This window comes from Homo sapiens, chromosome 5 (genome assembly GCF_000001405.40).
Source record: "Homo sapiens chromosome 5, GRCh38.p14 Primary Assembly".
Taxonomy (NCBI): domain Eukaryota; kingdom Metazoa; phylum Chordata; class Mammalia; order Primates; family Hominidae; genus Homo; species Homo sapiens.
Window position 1 is genome coordinate 158765458 of NC_000005.10, and position 24419 is coordinate 158789876.

Consider the following 24419-nt stretch of genomic DNA (forward strand, 5'->3'; position numbering starts at 1 on the left):
AACAAAGATCTAAATTAACTCCATAATGACTGGGAGTTGGTGCTTCCTGCAGCTAACCACCGAGGCTGATCCCAGGTGGCTATGCCTAGCAAGTCAGGCCTTCCACCCGTGATGTAAAGAAGTTAACCACAGTTGATGTTAACAGGAAAAAGATGAACAATTACATGTGCCAGGTTGAACAGCAGTGGGTATGAGGGGAAGTCGCTCTTCTGTTGTTGTTTCTGCTCATGATTTAGGGAGTGCCAGTTTCTGTCTACCTCTCACCATTGAGAGATACTGCAGAAAAACTCAGGCCTGATATTAATGGGATGGTTTCCACCTGCACTCTCAGTACCTTGAATAATATGAGGTCCATGTAAAAGGGTGAGCCTACTTTATTCAAGTCAAAAATATCTGACTTGTGGTACAGATAATTCAACTCATACCAAGGATTGCACAGGGCTGAGGACCCAGCAACGGGAAAGAAATATCAGCATGCTGAACTATATATGGGCAGATCCCCTGCCCTCCAAAAAAAGTTATCTCATTAAATATTTGAGTATTTTTAAAGCAAGATGCTTTCTCAATTATGTTACTTTAAATCGGTAGGGGCATGAAATAATCATAATCAATGGTGGTTTAGTAATGCTTACGGAGGTGCAGAAGTCAGTCAAGACAAAAAGGATTAGAAAGTTAATATAAATGTAGTATCTTTTTAAGGAGGATTGACCTCTTATCATTACAAGCATTCCTCAAAACAAGCCTTTTAAATATCGGTTTTTAAAATATTGCTAATGGTTACTTATGGCTGAGAAAAAAATCTTCCAGTGAAAGCACCATGCATAGATTTAAAAAGAGGTGTATCACAAACAACTTAGAAGAGACTATAATGGGAGAAAAATGGCTCTGGCTTTGATTTTTTTAAAACAACTGATGGAAAAAATGACTTGAAAAAGTTTGATTAAGGGTGGAAACCCAAAATGCAGAAGTTGTATTTGTAAATGTTGTAAATTATGTATGTGATATTAGACATGTACAAGTAACAAAATTTATATGTGAAATATTGTAAGTAGACATTTGATAATGTATTGGTATCTATAAATATGTATATGGTTTACTTGCTCTGGAAGCCCTAAACTTCACTAGAAAAAAGGGAGAACACCAAATATTCAGAATCACACTATATTCTGGCATAGCTGATGTTAAAAATTCTAAAAAAAGACAAGATATGGCTGTCCAATGATAGAGGAATGATGAAGCAAATTATGGTGCAGCCATCAGATGGACTATTATACACCCACCAAAATGCATTCAGGGAGAATTTGAACTAACAGAGGAAATGTGTAGTGTATAATATAAACAACAAAGCAGGACGCAAAACTATATAAACCTATTGTGACTTGCTGATAAAAATATAGGAGTATTTTTTAGTACCTTCTTTGAATACCCTTGAATACTTCCAAATAGTTTATTGGCTTTGAAAAGCAAATCATGTTATATCATACTAAAAAGATTAGAGGTTCAAAACTTTACAGTCTTGCATTACATTGGCAAGAATACATATACAGCTCAGTTCCTACTTTTATTGTTAATAGCTTTCTAATCCCTTACCAGAAATTTATAATTTAGAAATGGCAACACATCTTAAAGATTAAAGCCATGTGATAAATAGTTCATGTCCCTTAATAACCAAATCTCATGCCTTAGATTGTGAGAGCTTATCTGTCTCTTCCTTCTATATGGTTTCTATATTAGAAGTAAGTACTCAAAAACATTAACAGTGATTATCCCTGAGGGATGAAATAATGGATAATCATTATTTCATACTTTTTTGTATTTTAAAAATCTTCCATATAAGTATGCATTATGTTCACAATTATATAATTTGGTTAAAATACTTAAGGCTCCAGTTCCTGTCAGAACTCACGTGTCCTAGAAATACCTGCCACTCTCCCATCACCAACAACTGCATTTCAGGGAATCAGGTAATTCCATAAATTAACAAGGTAAAGTAGCATGCCAGGAGGCTTACTCAGTGCAGGCTCTGGTACCCTTCACCAGGGTTCAAGTCCTGGCTCCTCCACTTACTAAATAACCCAGGAAGTCACTTCACCTGAGTTTTTTGGTGTTAAAAATAGGCTAATAATAGGGCTTGTCTTACACAGATTCTCAGGGGTGGCACCAGGGGGTGGGGGTGGGGATTGCTTTACATTTAGTAATTGTAGAGAACAAGAAGACTGGGAGAAAAGATAGAGTTAGGGTGAAAAAAAAGGTGTGGAATAGGAGAGAACAACAGGAGAAAAGTCAACAAATGTCAAAAGCCCACTGAAGTGGGAAACCAGAAGAGCAGGGAGAGAAAGGAGGAGCTGAAAGCTCTAGCAAGAAATGCTGCTGGCCTATGGAGGATCAGAGAGGGGCCTACATTTACCTATTTTTTGTTACAATTTTGGATTTGATTACATTTCAGATATCGTTAGGGTTTTAGATGAGTTCCATTTTAACTTACGAAAAGTACAGCACGTGGTGGGTCCCGGGAAGCAGGGGAGCATGATTATGGAATTCATTTACCTTGGAGGTTGTTTAGCTTGAAAACAGAAGCAGTGCCACACTATATAGCTAAATGCTTTTGGGAGCCGCTCCCAAGCTCTCAGGACACTGGGTCCTTGGAGCAACACACACCCACTCATTTGGGGATGGCTGATAAATTTCAGATCCTGACCCCAAATAATCCAGGTGTAGGACTTATTGACCCTGTGCTGTGGGTTTTTCAGAAAGAAAAAGAGAGGAGAAACCAAATTCCAGGGGGCTATGCTTTAACATGAAGATAATGATATATCTCAGTATAAGGTTCTGCTAGGGCATAAGATGATTATCAATGACTAAAAATTGTTTTAAATTCATAACTCCCTGATATTTATGTATTTTTAAATGAAAAAAGATAAATAATATGATGTAAGATATAATTATTATGGTAATAAGTCAGATATATGCATAGGAAAAATACTGCAAAATATATATCATTAAACAATATTAATAGCTCACATTTATTGAGTGTTTATGTAACAAGAAACCGGTAGGAATGTAAGCAATTTCAATATTATTTTAATTATGTTTTATTGGTGCTTCCTAAATGATCTGAAATCAATATGCATAACTTTGCAGTAAAGAATGAAAAACAAAAGTGAATGCCCTAGCGGGTCCCACGTCTCTTCGTTAACTTTAACAATGAACAGGACTGGCATCCACATCACTGCAAACACAGATAAGTAAAACGAATAATCCTCCATCAAACATTTGGAATACATCTTAGGAAAAGAGGAAAAGAAATTTAGAGTTCCACTTCCTACTCCTATTCCACAATATTTGAGAAAATTTCAAGATATACAGTCAAAAGCTGAAGGGTTAATTTATCATGATGTTCGGTTTAAAAAAAGTGAAAACTTGAATACTTCCAAATAGTTTATTGGCTTTGAAAACCAAATCATGTTATATCATACTAAAAAGATTAGAGGTTCAAAACTTTACAGTGTTGCATTACATTGGCAAGAATACATATACAGCTCAGTTCCTACTTTTATTGTTAATAGCTTTCTAATCCCTTACCAGAAATTTATAGTTTAGAAATGGCAACACATCTTAAGATTAAAGCCATGTGACAAATAGTTCATGTTCCTTAATAACCAAATCTCATGCCTTAGATTGGACCAGCTTATCTGCTTCTTCCTACTGTACGGTTTCATTGGTAGGAAATACTTCATATCCCTATTACATGAATGATGAATGGGACCGTTGGTTATGGTCTGTTATTTGCTTGGCTGTAGTCAATATGTTTTCTTTGGACAGGGATTTCTGTGATTTATCTCTCTCCCGGCCTTATCACTTATTAACTCTGGGTAGACAGGAAAAAGCCAAGGTTGTATATAAGGCCTCGTGGCCATTTAGACCTCTAATGTCAGTGAAAATATCCCTTTTAATGATCCTGTTATACTGGCTACTCAAGTCCTGATTACACTCCACTCCAAATAGGAAATAAAGGTCATATTTCTTGGAAAGTATATTTGTAAAATATGCAAAATAATATGCTTCCTTCAGATCAGCTTTATTCTTTGCAGAAATGGCTCTCATTTTATAGCTGTCACGGAAGTACAATGGTTACTTTCAGTGACTTTTGTTGTTGTTGTTGTTCTCATTATGACACCAACAGTATTTAACTGTACAAATGCCAGCAGATTCAGAATCACTGATCACATCAGCATACATCTGATCAGGGAAAAATCATATGTTGTGGAACAAAAAAAAAAGGAGAGGCTTGGGACCTACCCTTTGTATCACAAAAGCAAAAAGAATAAACACTCCCTCTGCCTTGAATTCTTTTCTTTGTGTGTAAATGGTTCATTTGGAGTAATATTTAAGACATGTGGACAGGAGCAGCCTGTGAATTTTTCTTTCTTGTTGGGTCTATTCCAATTAGGACACTGCTAAGGCAGAGCTGCTAGTCAAGTATTCATTACCCAGCCCTCTTTCAGCTGAATCCCTAAGTGAAAACAATCTGACAAAAAAGAAAACACATTCTTGCCTTCCTTTCTCCAATTCTTTCTGAGTTTGCTTAGGCTTGTCTTTATAACAATTAACATATGTATAGAATATTACGCTATGCAAAATATTTTCATGGCCATTTTTTCATTGATATTCACAAGATCCTTGGGATGCACAGAAAAGTGATGGCCCTACCATCCCTTAAGTTGAGGGAGACAAAAATCTAGCAGCTTTAACCCCTCTGTCTCCCTCATCCCCACATCTAACCCATCAAGTCCTTTCCATTTTTCCTCTTAAATTCCTCTTGATTCCTCTCACTCCATTCCATCTCCACTGATTACCACCCAAATCAAAGTCACCAAATCTCTTTCCCAGACTACTGCAATGACCTCCTAAGAGGCCTTCCAAGATACATTCTGGTCTCCTATGCTTCTTGAAGCCAGAGTTAGTTTGTTCCCAAAATGTAAACCTGGTCACGTCCACCTGTCATTTCAGACACTTCAAAACTGTCCATTGTTCTTAAGATAACAACAAAACTCCTCCCCATGGCTTATAAAGTTTTGCATACCCTTGTCCCTGACTACTTCTCGCAGCCTTCTGTCTCACAGTTCTCCTCCTCCCTCTTGATTTTCCAGCCTCACTGCAATTCTTACAGCCGTCCAAGGTACCGTGTTTCCTCCCACCCAGGGCCTTCTCATTTGCTCCCTCTGCTGGAAGGCTCATTCCCTAACCCCATGCTACCCCCACCCTTCACTGGTTGTTGGGTTAGCTCTTTGTCATCCTTCAAACTTCAGCTTGTGCAATTTTTCCTGTAGAGAAATATCTCTAACTGACTGGTCAGGGCTCTTTTATTATGTGCTGATCAAAAGCGCTGTTTCTTTCTGGACACGTACCAGGTTTGAAATAGTAAACTTATGAACACCCATTTTCCCTCTTAGTCTTTAGAATAAAGAAAACAGGGATTGTGTCTGGTTTTGCTTAACACTGTTTCAGGACTTGGCCTAGAACTGGTTTAGAACATTGCCTAGAATAAGACAGGCAATCCACAAACATTTGTGAGGTGAATGAATGAAGTAACAAAAGGAAGTGGTAAAATCAGAACAGAACACAGGTATTTTTATTCCTATTCTAATGCCTAGAAAGAAACAATGTCTTTACTCATAATCAAAGCTGACACATACATAACATCAAACTCTAATGACAAATTCTTTGGATTTTCAAAAATATATATACCCACTATCTGCTTTTCTCACTTACTTTTGGGGAGCACTCATACTGGACCAGGTACTCTCAGGATTGCATTACATACATTAACCCTTTTACTCCTTAGATGAAGGTACTATTAAAATAGCTCCATTTTACAGATAAGAAAATGAAATTCATAATATAAGCCAAATCCCATTTTTTCATTTAAAGAAACTATGTTCTATGTATGTAAAACTTCAAGTAGAAAGGGACAGATTCTTAATTAACAGCTCTTATTTACATTCCATGTTATCCAGAGGACAAAAATCAATGAAGACCCATTGATCCTGGGCAATATGTCAATGATAGCACCTATTGCAAGTAAAATGCTGAGCCAAATCCCTTCAACATAGTGTATAAAATAAGATTGAGGAAGAGTTTCTATTTCTTCATGAAGCTTGTGGACTTTTTATGATTTGTCTACCTATGAACAGAACAAGAGAACTAAGGACAAAAGGAAGTGAATGATGAATGGGATGGTTTTAGCACCTGGGACAAAAGAGATTCAAGGACAGAGACTCTCCCAGTCAATCAAGATGAGTTACAGGGAGCACCAAAGTCAGTCCGACTGACTCATTTCACAATGAAGAGACTGGAGTCCAGAGCACATAAGCAACTTGTCTCACAGCTAGCGAGTAGCAAGGCTGGGATACGATGCAAGCCTCATTGCTATCAGCCCAGGGCTCTGTCCACTATACCACAGCGGTCAGAGAACACTTCAGAGAGGTAAGAGTTTGAACTGGATCCTTCAGGTGAATCACCATGCCCAAAGTAGCTAAAGTGAGCTGGAGGCACAGCAAGGAAACTGGTTTGACTGGAGCATCATAAGCCCTAGCCCCAGAGCACAGTGAGCCAAACTCGGGACTTGGGCTACGTCTTACATACAGTGAGCAAAGAGGGAAGGTTTCTCTGCAGGGTAATGACATGAAAGTGGCTATTCAGAGCGTACTGTGACAAAGAATTTATGTAAGAAAAGACTAAAGTGCAGGAGATCCATTAGGTGCAAACTCTCCACTTCTTCCCTAAAACCAATGACTTTGTTCAAGCCCAAGGTGGCAGCCTTTATTTTGTGGAGGAGGTTTCCAAGAATGAGAAACAGAGATTTCTGGTGAAAACTCTGGAAGCTGGAGTTGAAGCTGATTATAATCTAAATACTTTTGAAGACAGTTGGTGATAGGCTGTACTCCTGTTGCTAGGACCTCCAGAGGAGGGGCTGAGATGGAAATAAGAGAACAAGCATGTGTTGTTCCCTAAAAAAGTTAACACCAGAGAACTTTACAAATCAGGAGTATCTGATTAAAATATTAGCTGTGTGATGCATTCCTGCAAAAATATTTGTTTTAAGCAAATTATTACATTTACACTTATGCATTTCTTTTTCTTGCTACTTTATTTACACTTTGCTCCTTTTATTTGGGGTTGACAGGTGTTACTTGTTTCTTTAAACTGATGCCTATAGTTGTGTTACTAAAAATCCCAAAAGACATTTCTTAGATTTCTAGGGAGATGACAAGGATGATAAACAATCCATGGAAAATAGTTACTCCTGGTAGGGACTCAGAAACAAAGGAATGAATCATAATGGCCACCATTTATTAATGGAAACTACTAGTATCTAGCCTCATGCTAAATACAGTTCCATGATTCTAAAACTTTACATATGTTTCCCTGATCCTAAAAACAACCCCAGCAAGGTATTATTATTATTTCCTTATAAAGATAAGGTGACTGTGGTTTAGAGGCATCATATGATGTCCCAAGGATAACCTCTCTAGTAAATGGTAGATCTGAGAATTCAATCTATATCCATCATCTTGAACCTAAGCAGTCAATCAGTATGCGAGGTACTATCCCCTTAGGAGGGAGGGAGGAAAGGATGAGGGGAGTAAAGAAAAGAGAGAGGAAGGCGAAAGGGAGATAGGAGAGATGGGAGAGCAAGAAGAAAATAAGAGGGATAGGGAGAAAAAACGGAAAACTTAAAAGTCATAGTAAAAGATGTCAAGTTCCACAGAGCATATGCAGACAAAATAGCCCCTCCTATGTGCAAAGCAACGTGTTATGCATTGGCAAAGGATGTGGAGTTATTCTGGGCACAAGGTACAAACAGGAAGTATTTCCACGAAGAATTCTCATTTCGAAGTTAGTTCACAGGCTAATACACAGGAATGTGGGTTAGTCCTTCCACAGGAACAGGAAATTGGGTGAAAAATGTTTGGAATTGGAAAAGTTAGTGGTAGAAAAGATCTGATAAGTGACCTAACCAGACATCTGAGTTGTTAGATGATCATTCATCAGGGTTTTCACCAACTTTTGGGGGGTCAGGTGGTGTACAGCTCTCAGGGTACCCCTAGGCTGCTCAAACCTTGTCCTGGTGTCCCATTCTTTCAGTCATATATTCCCCGAGAATATATGAAAATTCTTACAGAAAATATAACTAGAATGAAGGCAACACATGCATTTGGAATTGGCCGCTTCTTATCAGGAAAACCAACTACAAAAACTTTGAGGAAGCAGCTAAAGGTGCCTAAGAGTCTTTTATTAGCTTCCAAGGCTACTTAGGGATTAGCAGGAGAGATCACGATTCGAAAAGATCCAAGCCACTTAAAGATGTAACACCTGCAAGAAAACAAGCTGTGAGAATAATAAAGGTATTAGGGAGAGCCCTTACATGGCAGTGAGGTTATAGTGGATTTAATTCCCACTGGACTGACCAGAAACGATAATAGGGCTTTGAAATCAATCCTGTGATTAGATAGTGTTTTTGTTTCCTTCTCTTAGAAAACATTTATTGAAAATTAAAGTCAGCCTTGCCCTACATTTACATAAGAATAACTGGACACAATAAAGTAAGATCTAGAAAGTGCTATTGAGCTTTTCTGCTTCTAATCCAGTCAGGATTCACTTTCCAGAGTCTGTGACTCTGATTGGACAAACACAAGGGCATGGCACATTAGCAGCTATGGATTCCTCGTGCGTCTCTGGTCTGAAGAACCAATGAGGGAGAGATGTACGCTTGCTTACCATCCTTACAAGGGGAGCCAGCTTGCAGGCAATCTGTGCTTGGTCAGATTCTTCCCTCCCCAAAAGGTCTGCCTTTATTAGTATAGATTAGGCCATGCTGTTCCTGCCTTTTTTCTTTTTTTTTAATGTTATGGACTTTTAGAGACATTTACATCTACAAATGCCAACTCTCTCTTGCATACTTTAAAAACAGCAATAAGGCCTTAGTTTGGGGTGTTACTTTTCAGCTCAATAATATTTTTCAAGGGAAAAATTCCAAGTGATATTTCACTAACAAATAAGAGGGTTAGCTCACCCAATCCAGAAAACCAAGCCTCACATCTTGAAATACTATGGATGTTAAAGAAAATGAAGTGTGAACTTCTGTGGGTGGACAAAGGAGGGGGCCGTACATTTGCAATGATCTGAGCAGTTGTTTGGATACAAAGAACAGAGAGGTTTTATGAGCCATCTCTATACCCTTACTATTAAGTGGTGACAGCAGAGGTAAACTGAGTAAATCACAGAGGCCAGTAGCCCCAGCCATGAACAAGCAACGCATGGTAGAGGCATTTAATGCTAATGATCAAAAGGTCCATGTGTAGGTCACCAATGAACACAGATTCCCTTTCATCAGAAATGATGTGATGTCACAATAACTGTTAACAGCCAAGTAACTATACCAGAGGGGAAATCATTGTGCCAATTTCTTCAGATTTTTATTTTTCCGATATGGGGAGAGGTTAGAACTCTCTTCTAGAATATTTAAAAAAAAAAAAAAAGGCTTCTTGTCTGGTGCCCACAGTTTGAGGCCAGATCACCAGAAGCATTTTTTCATACCTTAAATTTCCCACAGATGTATACATGTGCATATGCGCCAACTTATTGCTCTTACCCTTAACTACTTTTCTAGGCTTGAAAATCCAACACTTTTTTCTTAATTCCAGTGTGATATAGATTTTCTAAGATGTGATTTCTTAAACTGATGGCAATTTTTTTTTTTAGTGTTTAAAAAAACTCCAAATAATGATGGATCCCTAGCTCTTTTCTCTTGAGAACTTAAGTAATTTAATGAGGGTGATTTTTTTTTCTAACTTTTATGGCCAGGTGGCTCTAGGGGATATTTTGTTGAAGACTGATTAAAAATAATTTCTTCTAAATGAGACCTGACCACAAAATGGAACCATTAATGGGCAGGGACGTTGTCACCAAAGCGGAAACCATGCCTGATTGCCTCCTGTACCTCCCACCACACAAGCATTTTCTTCTTTTTCTTCTCCTTTTCTTGTTCTTAATAGCTGAGTAAATAAGCAGCCAGCGAGGCCTAATGTTTTCGGCCAAAAACAGAGTCCAAACTTCTCAGAGAAAACATTTGGCCTCTGTGGTTTTGAAATATGTTCCAGAACACCGAGTTCAGTGGGGGAACATTGTGAAAAACTCCCATCCATTGGAATGATGCTGGGGAATGTTACAGTATCAGAAGTTTCAATTGGTCCTTTTCCTGCAGCCCCATAATGAGACTTGTAAAACACACACACACACACACACACACACACATGCACACAGACACACACACACACACACACACACACACACACACACACACACACACTGCTATGTGGAAGTTCTCATGGGAAAAATGAATGGCAAGAAATCCTAGCTTTAAAAGAAACAGCTAATCTGCTAGTTTGATTATTCTTCAAAACTTACGCTGAACCAATGAGCCTAATTAAAAACACTTGGCCTACTTCTATAAAGCATCATAGCTTTCTCTACGCTTCGTTTGTATACACCACAAAACTCCAGAAAGACTATTATTTTTTCAAGTGCTCACTAACAAAGTGCTGACTTTGTTGGGATGGCTGAGCTAATTTCTTGAACTCAGTGTGAAACCTTAGCTAAACAAAATTGTGGTAATTTTCCTTAATTTGTAAAAGTGATTGGAGTGCAAACAAAATTTTCCTCTTGGGTCAATCCTATAATTTTCAGTTAACTAAAACTAATCGTCAGGCAGGCACCAAACCTGCATTTTGTTTAAAGGGCTGGGAGGCATTTCCAAGGGTCAGGATGCATTAATTGTTTTTATAATTTCGAGAGAGAGAGAGAGAGAGAGAAACTGGGTGACTAAGAAGTATGTTTGGTTTTACTTCTAATATTGAAATACAAGGGAAAGATGCTCTGAAGTAAAATGTCACAGAAAAATAAAATTCGTCCACTTAATTGTATGGTTATAATTACAATTTGTTAACTGTTATCCCTTCACTGCTCTGTTATCTCTTTGTGTGAAAGCAACTTCCGCTCTGTACTTAATCTGGTCTTGTGGTCTTTTACTGAATGGAAAAGGAAACCTGGGACTAGTTCGTGGAGACAGCTACCACTATCCAAGGATGACTGACACTAAGCAGAGGGCCCAGAACCGCACTCCACCTGTGGTTCTTTGAGCAGCAGCATCAGCCTCACCTGGGATTGCTTAAGAAACAGGATCTCAGGTTCTACCTAGACCTACTGTAGCAGAATGTGAATTGTAAAAGATCCCTGGGTATTTGGTTTGCACTTCACAATCTAGGGATCTCTTAGCGTACACATTGGGCACTCAGCCTTTATACTTGATGTCATTCCACAGAGATGCTGCCTGGTTCTCTCTGTCTGATGGGAGGGAATTCACATTCACTCTGAAACCCTAGCTTCTTGCCGCAAGGCGGATCCATGTGCCAAGGCTGTTTTGGGAGGACAAAAATGCAGCATACTTGGAAAGAAGGCACCAACCCAGAATTAAATATGAAAACTACCAATTGTATGTAATACAAGTGCCGTGAACAGGCTAGAGGAAAGACGTACTGTTCATGAAAGCACAAACCTACTCCATAAAGCCAACAAACCCTAACAAGGTGGCTTAACATCCAGAAACTCAGGACTAGCTACACCTCTTTCCCCTTCTCTTATTTTTCATGTGGCATCTTTAGGTATCCAACCAGTTATTTCAACAGAACGCGCCATTCAACATGGACACCTAGAAGAATTCTTAATACAATAATAAAAGCACCATGTTTGGTCATACATATGGTAAAATGAAGAAAGAAAGCAGGCTTTAACTAGATTTTAAAATAAAATACATGCTTTTATACAGACAAGATAAGGGGAAAGACCCCACAAGACCACGGCAGTTCTGTGCTCACCATGTGCTGTGGTTCTTACCTGTATAAATGAATCTGCCTGGTGTTCCTTTGCAGAACTGCTTAGATTTGTAGGACAGTGTGACTTCCACAACACCAGGGATGTGCCGAGGAGGGGTCTGCACACGGATGGCATGAGGAGTGATCAACTGGAGGAGACATTTGGGGGGAAAAATTGTCATTGCAATAGTTAAAACTTCACAGTCTTCCTAATAGCTCTCCATAAACAAAGCTTTAAAACACATAATTAACCTGTCTATGTTTAAATCCAATCTTGATGGAACCTGCGTGAAAGACACTGACAACAATATTTACAAATGCTCTGAGTACAGCCATAACAATATTATCTGGGTTTTCCTACATGGCAGGCCCTCTGCTTCCTGGTTTGAACAGGGAACCTGGCCTAATGAAATGATTTATCTACTACAGGATATCCTTTGGAAAATCTCTGAAGCAGACACCCAAATCAGAGCCGAGCTTTGCCGTGACTCTCCAGAAGCTGATGGGCCTGGTGTTTGAACTGAGCCTGTCAACATGTGGAAAACACAGAGGTAGGGAAACAGCAGGCCAAGGCACTGTGATTAGCTGCGGAGTGCACGTATGAAGTACCCCTGAAGACCATTTGGTGTATTAACTACCAGAGGCACAATCAAAGAGCTTTACAGGGGAAAGCAAAGAATCTGCCTCCCTGGAATAGCTTATGGATCTAGCAGAACTAAGGACTCTCCATAAAAGGGAAAGGGAAAGGGAAGGCTGGGGAGGCTGCGGAATGATCACTGGTCCATTATGCAATGCCACGTGCACAATGAGAAAGTTCATTTCTGAACTCTGTTGGCAATCAGATTACACCATGAAGCAGAATTTATTTTGTATTACTCTTATCTTTGTTTACATAACTAAAATGTTATTAATGGCCATAAAACTGGCATTATCTGGTTCTTTGAAAAATCCAGCCCTGGTATTTGACTGGTTGACCTCTGATGGTGCTGGATTCTACATGTTCTCTTTCTATGGGATTCTGCAATTGTCTACTCTTTGACTCCTTTCAGATGCAGTTAGCTCAATATTTGTGGTATTGAGTCCACTGCATACAGTGGATAATTTATACAGTATACATGAGTTTAAACTAACATGCTTGTTCTGTTCTCATGGGGATAACTTAGAAAGGGCTCTTATATCAATGTGCAAACCAGGCCCAGTTTGAGTGTTTTGCCCAGAGAATCACAGATAACACCATGAGAGGCTGGATGCGGCCAATGGGTCCCTGACTGGATAAACTGTTCTAACACCAAGTCCTAGGGAAAATAATTTGAGAAAGTTGTTATTGCTAAAGCCCACAAGTAATTTATATCAAATGTTCCTTCTTGAAACAAGAAAAAGTCATATCTGCATAAAAACCATTTTAACTTAGCAATTACAAATACCCTGTATTATATCTTGTAATATAAAAAAGCCCTAAATGACTGTTGAGGTATGAAGAACTATTTATCCCTGTACTAAATGGCTCCAGGTTTCTAAGATTTTGAAATTATTTCTCTTTTATTCCGCTTCTTTGTCTTTTTTTTTCCTGTTGTTCTTAGCACCTTCTAATTTGCTCTTGTAATCTGTGAGCATGGAAATCAGGAAATCGAGTTTAATAATGTAGAGAGAATAAGAAGAAAGAGGCTCTGAAGGGCAGTGAAAGATGATCTTCCCCAAATCAAGAGCATGTTAATTGTTGAGACACTGTTACTGCAATGTTGGGAACTAAAACTTGTAGAGTACCCAGGAGGTATCTACCACATTGCTGGATATTTTACATACAAACACTAATTTGGTCAGAACAATGACTGTATTTTTATCCTTTTTTTTTTCAGGTGAGAAAACAGAATCTTAAAATTAAGTTGTTGCATAAGCAACTTTACCCTTGTCATAGCAAGTCAGAGCAAAAGGCAACACTGATGCAGTTCAAAAAAGTCACGGGACAAACACTTCCTTTGTAATCATAGAGAAAAAAATTGTTCATATAGAAGCTTTTTAAAGGTAGTAACAAACTCAGTTTTTTTCTGATCCAAAGACTTTGTGTGTGTGTTTTCTGTACCTATGCTCTCTCCATTTTTCATTTATTGCCTGGAGCTTTGCCATGCTTTTGGTGGTAAAGGATGTTCCATGTTGTTATATTTCAAATAGAAGGTATGCTTCTAATTTTAACACGTACTTGGGATATAGAGTACCATTAACTCACAATAATACTGATAAGAACTTTCAGCCAGTTAGAAAACACTTCACCTGCTCTCCTTGTTCTCAGGGGAAATAAATTTTAAAAGATGGAAAGATATTAGTAAATAGATGGATGAAGATTCTTTTTAAGTATAGGGACTTAATATGTATGAGTTGCTATACCGAGGAACAAAATTCACGGGCTTTATAAATTGATTAGATATGACTGCAATAAAACTACAGACTGAGAGTGAGGCTTTAGCATAAAGCATTAGGCTCAGGAAATGCAAACAAATTTTCATTTACAATTTCATTTTCAATTTTAATTAATTGCCCTAACTAAAGCAGAGATTCCTTCTAAACAACAATCCTTCACAGATGAGGTAGAATCTGAATCATAATAGAGAATAAATTTGTTGATGTTTTCCTAGCTGTGAATATTAGTCTGGGAAGAATCTCTAGCATTGACACATGATATTGATGCTTATGGAGGAAAAACATTTTAGCTAACTTTGATCAATTTGAAAGCACAGGCTTATTTACTAATCACTCAAAGAACTGTAGAATTTATTGCTGGAAGGAATGCTAGTGATAGTTTAAAGCTAATCTTCTTATTTTGACAGATAAGGACACAAAAATCTAGAAATGTCTGGTGGCTCCGAAAATTGACCCAACATGCTAGAGGAGGGACAGGGTCTAGATCTAGGGTGTAGAACTCCGGACCCACAAATCACAAAATAAATTTCACACATTGTTCCAGCCTGGTTGAACCCAAGGCAGCCACTCAAAGCAACAGAAGGAGGGAGGGCTAGTCTAAATTTTTCAAACTTTCATCATTGGAATATCACTTTCTTAGTTTTGTCATATCTATATACCACCTATACAATTACATACTTAATAATTTAAAAAGTGATTATCTTTTTATTTAAAAAACTTATTTTAAAAGAAAACTTTATGTCACTACCATAATTGGAAAACTGATATCAACTGCAAAATAAGAAGGTATTGTAGATATTAATCTTGAAGTTAATATAAATTATAGCTAGATATTGTTGACAACCTGAAGGAATTTATTGAAAAGGGTGATTAGCTAGTGTTAAATATTAAAGACTTTTTTGCCCTGAGACTTTATCCCTTTAATAAAAATCATAATTATGGAATAAAACAAAGATTAAAAGAGAAACAAAAGGAGTGATGAAAAGAGAAACCAAAAGGAGACTAACTTTCTCACAGTGTGATTCAGTTCTATTTCATGTCTGTGTCAAATCTAAAAATGTCTCCTGTACTACCAAGGACCCATGCCCCATTACTTTGGTAAATACTGTTCTAAGTGATTAGAGAACAGATTCATTCTTTGACTTAACTTCCTTAAATTACAAGCCAAACAATTTGGGCTAGAAATAAATATTCTTCTGAAACTCTGTAGCATCTGCCACTACTCTTTCCCTTCCTTGGAACACTCCATTTTCTTATGAGACAATAATCATAAGACGTAAGACTTGCAAAGTGTCTGATGGTTTACCAAAGCACTTTCATGTTCACTAATTTTTTAAAATCATGTTTGTGGTTTATGTATTTCAGATGAGAAAAGTTGATGGTCAGGCAAGTTAATATTATTTAAAACACTTGGATGAAAACCAATCTCTTATACTTATAAAGAAGTATTTTCCAGATATCTTCTCTTATTCATTGATTCCTGATTATTTTGGTTTTCTTCATTTGCTCCACTTTTCTGTCAACTTGTTAGTTGTAGAAATATCACAAGTTTTGTCTTCTTTTTTTTTCTCTATTTGCCTAGCACTTCTTGATTTCACTCATTAGCTCAGCCACCTCAGCTAAACTGATTTCCAAATCTACACTTGTAGACTTGATCTCTTTGGCTAAGCATCAAATTTTATTAGCAACAGAGTAACAGAATCTCCCCAAATAAGTCTTCTTGCCATCTCAATCTCAACATGACCCAAGCTAAATTTATCATCTTACTACCTGTAAATATATTTCTTGTTTCTGTGTCTCCTGTCTCAGTTAAAGGAATGTTAGCCTTTGAATTACCCAAAACAGAAAACTTGAGTTTATCATTATTTCTTTTTCTTCCTTTATTTTTCTTCAGTCATATTGATTCTGCCCCAAACTGGGCCCCACTGGCTCTTCTCTGCTTCTTCTCTTTCTCCTGTTCAGGCTGTCACTGTTTCTTACACTATTACAACAGTAGGAAAAATTGCCTTCTAAATGGTCTCCCTCTACTTCTACTTTTTCCACCATAATTATCTTCTTCAAATACAATCTCATCATATTATGCCCTGCCTCAAACCAAACCCTCAGCTGCCCCCTTTGCCTATTACATAGTTCAAACTCCTTGACAGAATAATATTTAGGGTTCGCCAAGGCCTGATGGCCAGTTTCCCTTCCTAGGCACACTTCCCACTTTGCTTTACCACATATTGGAGTAAAGGGCATGTGGATACACGAAAACACCATTCCCTTGCCCAACAGTTTTGCTTTCTCCATGCCATTCTTTCCTAAACATTCTTCTACTGACATTCTACTTGTTCTTGAAGACCCCAATCATACGTTCCCTCTTCCAGTAAGTTTTACCTGATCCTAAGGGTGAAAGTTGCCTGCATTTTTGAGGAATTTATACTGTTATGATATTGATACTATAATACTTAGCAGCCTATTTTGCTTTGTGCCATAAATAGTGTCCTATACATCTTTCTCTCATTAGATATTTCCTGAGATCAGGAACACAGTCTAATTCACATTTGCAACCTCTAAAGTAGTTAACTTGGCCTGGTGTGGTGGCTCACATCTGTAATCTCAACAGTTTGGGACGCTGAGGCAGAAGGATCACTTGAGCCCAGGAATTTGAGACCAGCCTGAGAAACAAAGTAAGACCCTGTCTCTACAAAAAAAAAATTTTAATTAGCCAGGCATGGCAGCATGCGCCTGTAGTCCCAGCTACTTGGGAGGCTGAAGTGGGAGGATTGCTTGAGCCCAGGAAGTCGAGGTTGCAGTAAGTCGTGATTGTGCCACTGCTGTCCAGCCTGGGCAACAGAGCAAGACTGTCTCAGAAAAAATAATAAAATAAAATAAAATAAAAAACAAATTAAGTAGTTAATGACTTACATACAAGATATTTTCAAAATATTTCTGGAATAAATATTTACATAAATTAGGCCAGAATTCTACTAAATCATTGACTCCACTGGGTATCATAATCATTATCCATGAGTCCAGGTGAGTCTACTGTTCTTAACCTGATAATACTCAACTCTTGTTTTCTACCTAAGTTGCTTTTAATGTTAGTTATCTGACTAGCTCGACACTCAGATCTCAATATGAGCTTGAGACCACTGCTTGTATATCATGTAAGTGGTAAAAAAGAAAAGGATGTCTAAATGTCTGTAACTCCAGTGAGAAATGATAAGATGAAATGAAAAAAAAAAGGTTTAAAAATTAATACTTAAAAAGTATGCCACACAAGATCTTTGCTAAATGGTAAGAGTGTTTATTTCTGGACTGATAACATTCAGTGTGATTTGTCTTCTCTGTCTGCCTCTTCCTCCTATGTGTATGTATTTCTGTGTGTGTAAATGTCCCAAACTTGCACTGGATCATGTAAATAATTATGGAATAAACCTATTTGTACATATAAAGCCATTATTTTTATTATGAGAAAAATGTTATTTAAAAAGTAGAATAACATCAGTTTGGGGCAATATGTATTACATGTGATTATATAAGAATTAGATGCGTATTTGCACAGAAGAAAGGAAAAACTTCAAAATGTTAATGGAAGTTACCTCTAGATGGTAGAGGTATGGGTAATTTTACTTTCTTCTGTATGCTTCTCTGAATTCTCCAACTGCTCAACAATAAAAATGCATTAATACTATATTCATAAGAAATAATTTTTCTATGTGGCAGTAAGATGAAACACACATAATCTCTGCAGGCCTCCAGGTGAGGCTGTCAGCATGCCAGGGACCTGCCGGCAGCAACACTTCTGCTCCCTCTAAGCTGCCTGTGTGAGCATTTTCTCTTCTCCAGACTCAGACCACAGAACCTGAAGAATCCTGTGGGGGTTAGCCAGGCGAGATATGCCCACTGTGGCCTCTGGGTACAAAGTAAAGCCACTGTGGCCATGACAAGATGGAGCCAGACATGAAGGTGGTTGAATGGGGCCTCTCCTTGACAGAAGAGCTGAAATCAGGAGAGAGAATGCATGGTAGTTCATGCAGCTGTGCACGTAGAACTCCAAAGAGGCAGCCTGCAAAGTCTGGAAGCCCAGAAGAGAGGCAGGGAAGAGGACAATCTTCTACATGCGTATTAGACAGCCTCCCATCATATCAAAAGTATGGCCCACATGGTAGGTAAATGAGAGTATCTAGTGTTTAAAAATATGAGTGGAAGCATGTTGTAGAATTCCGCAGCTTTTATTATCTATATTGTTCTAGTTCTCACTAAATTGATGATGGTAATGACCTTGATAACGACTTCAACTATAATGACCTTTTGTTGTCTTTTTCCCATATGTCAAGCGCTATGTTAAACTCTTTCAGTGATTTACATCCTGTAGTATTATGGGGTAGGTATGATTATTAGCTGGTTCATAGATGAGAAAAATAAGTTTCAGGAAAGTTAAGAAATATGATCAAGAAACCAACTGGAAGTGGCCAGTCGGCCTGACTAATGACCATCATTATACAACCATGACTATCTGTTCATATGACTGTTCATTGTTTTTCCATAATTCCTGGTACATGTACTTTGCATCTGACCTCTGCCTTTGAAAGCATGGATTGTATCTGCAGCTTTTCCCATACCTTGAAATGAACTGGGAACATAGTGGCCACTCAAAACAACTTTCCTCACTGGTGAAAGGCAAGCTGAGAATGATTCCCAAGGAAAACAAAAAAGCAATTCCAAGATAAGCCTTTATCCATGTTTTCCAACCAATAGGAGTAGGTAAAATAAATGCAAGTTGAAGTTGCAAGCCACAAAGCCAAAAAATAACTGGGGTTACTAGAAAGCACACCAGCGATTTCTCATTACTAGGTTTAGGACCTAATATTTTAACCTTAATCACCTTCAACACTTAAAAGTAAAGAAAAAAAGTCCAAAACAAGCAAAGACTCAAAGAGAAGGGATAAAAGGAAGGAAATGTTTCTTCTCTGGAAAAATAATGAGCATTTGTGGCTAGAAAAAGCCTAAAGTGGGCACTGGCAAGGTGGTTTTTAGATGTTACCCATTGAAGGGTCTGCGTTCTAAGGCATGCTAGCCCATTCACTCATTGACACCCTCTGTGCCTCAGTTTACTAATCTTATACTGCACCAGCTCCTATGTGCTCTGTGGAGGTGCTGATAATAATATTATACATGCTTTATGTTTGGGTAGAGCTTCTCTGGGGACCCTAAAGCACTTTCCAGATTAATTTTTTAATTTATGTATTAATAATTCTCACAGCATTCTCCCTTCTCCTCAGTTAGGATAATAATATCCATCTCTTTTGAGATAGGCAGGGGGTACTGAGTGATAGACATGAAGCAGACACTTAAATAAGAAAACTGTAACATAAAAGCATAATTAAAGCTCTAGAACCAAATCAAACTACGGATTTTTAAAGAGATACCAAGGTGTTAGGGAACAAACAGGCAAACTTGTTTTCCCTCCACTACTCTGAAACATGCATCTTTTTGGAGTTAGACACGGCATTTAAAATATATTATTTTCAGGGTTGCTAAAGGAAGCTGAAATATGAAAAGTATATATTCTTGGCGACTGTGCTGGCTGAACCTCCATATTATATCTCTATTTCCCTGAAGTGGCTACCACATAAATCAGGGGATGCCAGCTCTTCTTCTGAGTTCCTTGGTGTGTTTTGGTTTGTTCCCTAATCAGAGTTCTCTGGGTTTCATAACACAGATTCTTTCATTCCCAAGAATTGCCTGTCTCAAAAGCAGTGTATGATTTCTCAGAGAACGTGAGAAAAAGCCAGAGGAGGCATTTACTGTTTCACAAAAATTCTGGTTTCCTTTTGTCCTTTCAAGAAAATAACTTTAAACCGATGTTTACCAAAATATGCTGAGTCACATGAATCCTTAAAGATAAACTTTATGTATGAATGTCAAAGGAGACTTTTGAAATTAAAGTCTCAGGAATTGAGTTAAATGGGGGACTTAAAATCTAGCTTTTGAATAGTCAGTCATGTTACTTAACACTGAAATTTCTCTCAATATAGATATCGACATAGACTCAGATGGATGGTAGAGAGATGTAGATATGCTTTCCTATTCATTGTCCGTGTCCCCCTAAGTAGAATATCAGCCCCATAAGGATATGACCTTGGCCTTCTTTGTTTTTGCTATGTTTCCAGTGTTTAACAAGGCCCTGGAACTAGTAGTCACTCAATAAATACTTGAACATTGAATGAATAAATATCGTGATGCCATTAGCCACCACTAATAATTAAGATAAAGATTCACTAAAGTTTCTTATGAATCTACAAAAAGGAAATAATCAACACCACTCCATTCAGAATTCTTTTTACTAAAAAATTCCCAAACAAACAACAACAAAAAAAAAACTTTTTACTTTCCACCACAAACTTCCTGGTATCCTCATTAAGCATTCACAGAAATATACTGCCCAGTTCTGACCAGGCATCTAACCAGGTCCCGAAATCAATGCAGTTAATTGTACAAAACAAAATGGCAACAAGATCATCTTTCAAAATAACAGATTTGGGAGAAAAAAGACTGAAGTAAATACATTATGCTTCCACTACCTCTGGTTTTGTGGGTTATTTATTTATTTATTTTGTAATTTATTTTTTAAATAAACTTTCTCCAGCTCTCTTCCCAGGATGTAGATCTTGTGCCAGTTGGGCCCCATTAAAGACTGGATCCCATCCTGACCATCTGGGAGCTGGAAAAGCAAGGGTGAGTTCCTGAGGCCCAGGGTATTCCAGAAGGAGAGCATCAGACACCAGCAACGCCAGCCCCTGTGGTTTGAGGCTGCACAATGAGCTCTTTCTCAAGGCTTGTTTTTCTAAATTCAGTCAAGAAGGAACATCATTCCCTACTCAGGCCTGGCTCAGTGTCCTATGTTCCTTGCTTGTTTGTTTGAAAATTAAAATATAAAAGGAAAAGGAAATCAGAATGCATTTATGGAAGGGGATGAATGCTTGTTATCAACATTGGCAATTCACATGGCAGAATCTTTGCCTATGGAATTAGTAAAGAAAAATATAAAAGCCAAAAGACTGATAAAGTAGTCAGGGAATAAATTCACCTTTCACCAAAAGACTTGTAGAGTCTCTCCAAGCTTAAAAACAAACAAAAAAAGATGTCAAAGCTTTACGATACAGAGACTCACTCTAACATTTTTTGTGGTGTTTGTCATATCTAGATATGATATACATTGATACTAGCACATGCAACCAGTAATTCCTCACTTAACGTGTTCATTCAGGAACTCAGAGATGTAATAAAAGTAAGCACTACAAAAAACTGAAGCCAAACCCCTTTTAATAATGTGGCTGTACAACTGCTTCTGCTGAAAGTCTTTCAAGGTTGCCTTATATATATCCTGCTGTTTTAAATAGAATATACTAAATATAATTGCCAGCTCTTTTTTGATTACTCAGGGCCACTGTCATTAATGAGCTGCACAGTAATATAGTTCTGTGTTTGCTTTTTCGGCTTTCCATTTCTTCCCTAGACATCAGGCCATCAGCTGTCACTGAGCCTGTATCCAATAGCCTGCCTCCACACATGATCTTCCTCTAGTTTGGGCCTCCTAATTTGCTGTGACCTAGGAAAACAGATAACATAGTTTGTTAAGAAGTATTGTTCTCATTAACCCAAAGCTTTTTATTTTATTTACTTTTTTGGCTTGCTTCTGGTTTCATGCTGAATTTTAGGGAGTTGAGATTATTATAACACATCTCTGGATAAATGAATTTTATTACATTCATATTAGATAGTTAAGAGATAGCTATGGAGTCAGGTGGACTTTGATTCAAATCCAAGCCTTGTCAATAATCAGCTGTGGGACCTTTGGAAAGTCACTCAACCTCTGTGACCTTCAGTTTCCTTATTGGGGAAAGGGGGAGAGAGTAGGATGGGACTTGTTATCTGATAGTTTATTACAAGGATTAATTGACACAATTCCTGTAACAAGTGTAGGAAAAGGCATCACTTGTATCAATCAGTCAACACGTGTTACTTCTATTACTACTCAATCTTCACCATCACCAATAGATTTACATTAAGACATTTATGTGCATACTTATTACACAACAATTATATCTAAATATAAACTACCTACCCATACATGCATTAGCAAAACCTGGACCACAATCTGTCTAGTACTGACACTTTCAAGCATTGTCAACTACAACAGTTGCTATTAGGGAGCATTTGTTTGACTGAATGAATGAATGAATGAAAGGGGAAATAGTGTCATTCAACAAATTTTCACTAATGCCTCAGAAGTGCAAAGCTCTGTGCTGGGCATCACAGAAAATTAAGCTGTATTTATCCTGGATCCTGCATTCAAGGAAGAGGGAATGCCCTTAAATCAGGATAATTAAAGATGGAAAGGTATAAGGAACACAGTATGGTAGAAATAAGGCAACATAAGAATTTAGACAGAAGAGAAAATATTCTATACCTGGAGTCATATGGGAAGATTCCAGAGAAAAAGGTGGTATTTTACAGGATCTTAAAGGGCAGAGGGATATGGGCACAGAAAGGAGGGAAAAGGATCCCATGGAGAGCAATGGCACCAGCAAGACAGGGAGAAAAGTTACTGCAGGTACAAGGAGCAGCTAACAAGTCAATGGAATAGAACATAAATTAAAATGAATGTTGGTTGAGGATGTTGAAAAGAAAGGTTGGAGTCAAGGTGGTGTGCTTGAATCCCAAAGAAGTTGTGGCTTTAGAAAAGAGAAAGCCAGTAAAGGTTGTATAAGGTAGAAGGCTTTATTTAGTTCAGGGTATCAGGGAGCCAACCTAGTGATCAGCAATCAGCAAGAAAGGAATACAGCACTATCTAGATATCCATAAATATTCATTTTCTTCATAAAAGTCACATGACTGCAGCCAGGTGTGAATTCTGTCATTGATTCATATGAAAATTAGAAATTCATCACACTTCTGTGGTTCCTATTTTCAAGTTACAGACACGTGTACCTCCTGAACACGCTGTAAATAATGAGCTGAAAATGTCATCTTAAAGTCTTTTTTTAACTATTTCATAATTATCAACATAGAAAATAGATTTCAAGTGCCTCAGTCATCAAAAATAACAATATAGACTAAGGCTTCTTAGGAATAAAGTGAGCATGGCTGTAACTATGTAACTATATTAAAAAGGCCATTAGACCATTTTTATCTGTTTTTTTTTTAATATGCTGGCTCATTTAGAAATGATTTCTCATAAAATTACTTGGGCTTGAAAGTTGTTCTTCAAAGTCATATTCAAAGTTTAATGCAACTAATCCAGACTGCTTTTAAATTTGTTAACAAATAAAGTTTATAATTTTGCACAAAGCAACTTCTATATAATAGATGGTCAATAAGCACAGGTTAAATATAGGACATGAAACATATTTAGAAAAAAATAGGCAACTAGGAGTTATTTTAAATCCACACATTTAATCAACTTTGAATTAAATTTATACATGTAAGCCTCAATATATGTAAAATAAATGGACACAACTATTTACATTGTATTACATTTCTATCATGACATTTTGAAAGAGGTAATATTTGACATAATGTCTTTCTCCGTCTTAATTTTCTTTTTTATTTTAGTGGAGCTGTATCTCACATAAAAGGTGGTATAGATAAGTCTTCAGAGTGTTAGGGCAATTATGTATAAAATTTAGGAAGGTTTGGTAAATTTCTGGAAGTATGTTAAAAGCCCATGGAAATTTCATGAGAAAATCTGGTATAACCAAAAGCTGAATGGGGGTGAAGCTGGATGTCAAGAGAACTGGGCTCTGAGCCCAGCATTAAGTAGATAATATGCTCCCAGGACAAGCCACCCTACCACTGTGAAGTCTCTTTTTCCTCACAAAATAAGAAACTATACTTGACTGAAAAAAGGTTTCTCAAGGCCCTTAAAATGTGGTGACTCTACATGTGGTTCAGTAAGAGTCAAGGCCGGGCAAAAAGGCCTGGGAAACTTCCGGTGGAATACCTGTATGCATCTTAGTCAACCACTCTTGAATATCATAGGGAAGCCAATCCTCTTGTTTATTGACAATCATTCCTCTG

General features: G+C 37.6%; 1 protein-coding gene across 28 annotated transcripts in view; it reads right to left on the reverse strand.

Moving 5' to 3' along the window:
* EBF1 (EBF transcription factor 1) overlaps positions 1-24419 on the reverse strand; it is a 403997-nt gene that overhangs the window by 69538 nt on the left and 310040 nt on the right. For all 28 annotated transcript variants that reach the window (NM_182708.3, NM_001324108.2, NM_001324106.2 and 25 more), the window contains one exon: positions 11956-12082. In NM_182708.3, coding sequence (NP_874367.1) covers positions 11956-12082 — 127 coding nt within the window. The remainder of the gene's footprint in view (positions 1-11955; positions 12083-24419) is intronic.